This window comes from Homo sapiens, chromosome 16 (genome assembly GCF_000001405.40).
Source record: "Homo sapiens chromosome 16, GRCh38.p14 Primary Assembly".
NCBI lineage: Eukaryota > Metazoa > Chordata > Mammalia > Primates > Hominidae > Homo > Homo sapiens.
In genome coordinates, this window is record NC_000016.10 from 58,046,902 (window position 1) to 58,051,576 (window position 4,675).

A 4,675-nucleotide genomic window follows, 5' to 3' on the forward strand; every position below is an offset into this window, starting at 1 on the left:
TGTGTCCTTGTTTGTAAGGCCTTGGGCTGGAACCTCCAGCTGGAAGGGCGTGCAGGTGGTGGGGGTCCAGCCCATGCTAGGGTTAGGGGGCTTGACCTCAATGCCAAGGAGACCTTGTTCCAATTCCATGGGGGCTCCTTCCCGATGGCCCTTGGAAACTATGCCCTGGGAGGGGCAGAGCTTAGGGCTGCCCTCAAGAGTCCAGAAGAGGGAGAGGCAGGGCACCTGGGGTCACCCTGCCGGGGTGGGGCAGGGAGGGAGCATGGAGTTAGTTTGCCGTTTGTTCCTGCTGAGAAAAGACAACTGAGTTTGCCACAAGCCCTCCCCGTCTAGGAGTGGAGGAAGAGCCAGGCCAGTCCTCCCAGGCTGGGTTCTGAGCACTGACGGGAGCCCAGAGCCAGGCACAGAGAGAGATGGGAAATGGTGGCACTTTGATTCCAAAAGTTCCCTTCCCCACACATGCTGCTCAGAGTGGCAGGCACCCAAGACCTGCCCTTTCATCTTTGAGAAGCAGAAAATCCCACCCAGGCCTGTGCAGGGTGCAAGTGATACCCCAGGAGGGCAGGAGACTGAGGTGTCACCGTCCCTTGAGTCTGAGCATGGCTGTGGACCCGGGAGGTCCTCCTTAGCCCCCACATCCATGCTCTTGGCCAAGCCTCTTAGGTACTAGCCTGGGCCCTCAGGAAAGTGATGATTTGCTGCAGTAGGGGTCGCACCCCCACCACGGAGCAGGCCAGGCCTCTGCAAGTCCTCAGGCAGGGTCGTTCCGCCTGTTCCAGGCCCAGCTCCCACTCCCACAACCAGTCCCATCCCGTCCCGCCCCTTCCTCTCTTTGTGTTGAAACTGGCTGGGGAGAGTAGGAAGTGCTGGCCCTTGGAAACCTCGAAGGCCTCTCAGGCTCATCTAGGAAACAGCCGGTGAGCTCCCCCACCACAGGGGCCTTGGTGGCAGCAGGGGGGATTCCAAGCAGCCGCCATCTTGTCAGCTTCCCTGTGGCAGAAGCCACGGGGTCCCTCCCAGGTCTGCCTCCTACCTGAGTCCCTAGGGCCCCCCAAAAGCCCAGAGGTCACCGGGCAGGTGGAGGGCAGTGTCGGGGCCCAGGGATGAGAGGAGAGTTTGAAAGGCCTTGAGTCAAGCCCTTCCTCAGAGCCAAGGCCAGGGGAGAGAGTTGGCAGAGGCCTCACCTCCTCAGGAAACTGCCTAAAGAGGCTTCCTCCCCCAAGCTTGCTGCTAAAATCTCAGAGGCCCAGTGGCTGAAGGCACGGCCCATCCGAGAGCCCTATCTATCTATCCTTGCGGGGGGGCTTTGCATGAGGAGGGGTGGGTGGGGCAGCTAGGCCCTGACTCCCCCACGTCCAGAGAGCCCAGATCCCAGGCCTGCCTGAGGCCTAACCCCCGTCCCTTCTCCCCGGGATTAAACAGGAGCCTGCACCTTTAAATCGTTTTTTTGTTTGTTTGTCTTTTAATGTGACTGTAACCTAAACTCACCTTGGGCCCCTCACAGCCCCCATTCCCTCAGCATCCTTTTTTCCTTTACATTTTTACTAATTCCCAGCTGCAAAAACTAAGACATTAAAGATAAGCAAAAAGAAGAAAAGTCTCAGTTGCCATAATCTCTCAGCCTGTGTTGACAATTTGACATGTTTCCTTATAACTTTATTTTCCTGCATTTGCAAGGCTTGGAGTTTTAGAGTCTAAAACATCCAGTGCCTGAGCCCTGGTGCTGCAGCCTGTGGGAGGTGGACAGAGGATGCTGGGTGGCTGCAAGGTGTTGGCAACCTTGCAGGCAAGGGCCTGGCACCGGGCACGTGCTCAATGTGTGATCGTGACCCCAAGGCTGACAAGCTCCCCATCTACATTTTACTCAGGAGAGCAGAGGCTCAGGTGAAGTGACTTGGCCAAGGTCACACAGCTAGGAAATGGCCATGCCAGGATTAGGACCCAGCTGGACCAACTTGCACCACAGTCCAGCTCTACCCGACCCTGGTGCTGCCGGAGCATCGGGACAGGGGCAAGGTGGCCCCTGCCCATCAGCCTTCCTCCCCGCACATTCTATGCATCGAAGACCCCAGGGCCACCAACAGAGCCTTCTTTCAGGCCGGGGCAGGGGCTGAATTGGCTGCTTTCTCCCCCTTCAACTTGGCAGAAAAGCCTTTTTGTTGTGGCTCACACAGAGGCCATTCTCCTCCAGCTCACGGGAAGGAATGCCGGCTTCCTGCGCATCCACAGTGCCCAGGCCACAGTGGGGTCCTGCGTGTAGGTCCCAGAGGAGCCCCTCCACACCCTCCAGCCCTGCCTCTGGGGACTTCAGCTCCCAGACTTTCTTCCTTACCCTTGACAATTTGAGGAACCACACAGGGAGGTAGGGGACAGCCCCCCTCGGCTACCTCGGTAAATGCCGGGGATTTTAAGCCTCACAGCACTTTCAAGACGCAGCAGTTCCACCCTCAGCTGACTTCTCAAGTGGCCTCATGACCCACAAAGTGCTGGCAGAGGCCCCTGCCAGGCTTCTCGCCCTGTCTCAAATGTCCCCTGCACTTGCCTGCCTCTATGCCTTTCCTTACACTGTTCCCTCCCCTGGAAAACTTTTCCCTGTACATCTCATCCTGTGCAAATGGCATAGACCCTTCAAGACCCAGTGTGTGGCTTCCGCCTCCCAGCTTCCTGCCTGCCTTCCTCAAGGTTGTTGTTTCCTTCTGCCTCTGGCTCCACAGCACATGGATCTCCTCAGCTCTAGCCCAGCCTGCCCCTTGTTCCAGGCACCCAGACACTGACCATGGCTCCATCACTCAGGGTGGGGGTGCGTCCTTGGGCAAGTACCTCCACCTCACTAAGCTGATTCCCCATCCGTACAATGGGCACGCAGGCATGCCTATTCCATCATGTGGCTTGGTGGAGCTGATGCTTAGGAACACGTAGAACAGCTCCTGGCTTGTGAAAGGCTCTCGATGGTTCATTACCAATATCCTTACTCTAAGTGCAGGTACCTGGTAGGCACTGGGGTGGTGTCTGTTTCCTGCCTGTGGGATGGGGTCACAGGTCGGCCAGCCTGAGGACAGGTGCCTGGGAAGAGGGACATTCCTGTCCCACCCGCTTCCCTCCCAGCTGCCGAGGCCTCACCCCACTGGGCCCTGGGGACAGGGCTGCCCTGCCCCAGCTCCTCCCTCACCGAAACACTTGCCCTTCTTCCCAGACTCTGGGTCCAAGCCCCAAGCTCAGGTTTCCTCTCCAAGCACCTCTGACACCTCCCACCCCCAACGTCTTTCACCCACTCCAGTCTTCGCCAGAAATAGCCTTGCAACTCCCCTCCACTGACAGTCAAGCTCAGAGGCCTCTCTTGGACAAATAATATTACTCCCCTCTTGACACGGGTCACAGCATGATTTCTTAATGGGATCAACTGGATTCCATTTAAAACTGTTCAGAAACAGGGCAAGGTGGTGCATGCCTGTAGTCCCAGCTACTCAGGAGGTTGAGGCAGGAATTCGAGGCTACAGTGAACTATGACCATGCCATTGCACTCCAGCTTGAGTGACAGAGCAAGACCTCGACTCTTAAAAAAAAAAAAAAAAAAGAGAGATTAAAAAAAACAGAGAGAGAGAAAGGCTGGGCATGGTGGCTCACGCCTGTAATCCCAGCACTTTGGGAGGCCGAGGCAGGTGGATCATCTGAGGTCAGGAGTTCAAGACCAGTCTGGCCAACGTGGTAAAACCCAGTATCTACTAAAAATACAAAAATTAGCCGGGTGTGGTGGTAGGCGCCTGTAATCCCAGCTGCTCAGGAGGCTGAGGCAAGGAGAATTGCTTGAACCTAGGAGGCGGAGGTTGCAGCTAGCCCAGATCTCACCACTGCACTCCAGCCTTCGTGACAGAGCAAGACTGTCTTAAAAAAAAAAAAAAGTCAAACTAAAAATATTTGAAAGAGATTTATTCTGAGCCAAATATGAGTGACCAATGGCCTGTGACACAGCTCTCAGGAGACCCTGAGAACATGTGCCCAAGGTGGTCAGGGCACAGCTTAGTTGTATGCATTTTGGGGAGACATGAAACATCAATCAAATACAGTTAAGATAAACGTCAGTTTGGTCCAGAAAGGCAAGACAGCTCAAAGTGGGGGCTTCCAAGTTATACATAGATTTTAAATTTTACTGCTTGGCAATTTGTTGAAAGAGTTATTATCTATAGAAAGGAATGTCTGGGTTGCAATAAATGGTTGTGGAAACCAAGGTTTCATCATGCAGATGAAGCCTCCAGGTAGCAGGCTTTCCGAGACAGTGGATTGTAAACTTTTTTTTTTTAATCAGACTTGAGATCTATGTTGATGCTAAATGCTGGTTGGCTTTTCCTGAATTCCAAAAGGGAAAAGGGTATAAGGAGGCATGTCCGACCCCCCCACCCTTTCCGTCATGGCCTCTAGCAGTTTTTCAGGTTAACTTTGGAGTGCCTTTGGCCAAAAGGAGGGAGCCCATTCAGATGACTGGGGGGAGGGGGCTTAGAATTTCATTTTTGGTGGAAGAAAGGAAGGAGGAAGAAAGGAAGGGAGGGAGAGAGAGAGGAAAGGAAGGAGGAAGAAAGGAAGGGAGGGAGAGAGAGAGGGATGGAAAGAAGGAAGAAGGGAAAGAAGGAGAAAGGGAGGGAGGAAGGAAAGAAGGAAGGGAGGAAGGGAAGGTGGGAGG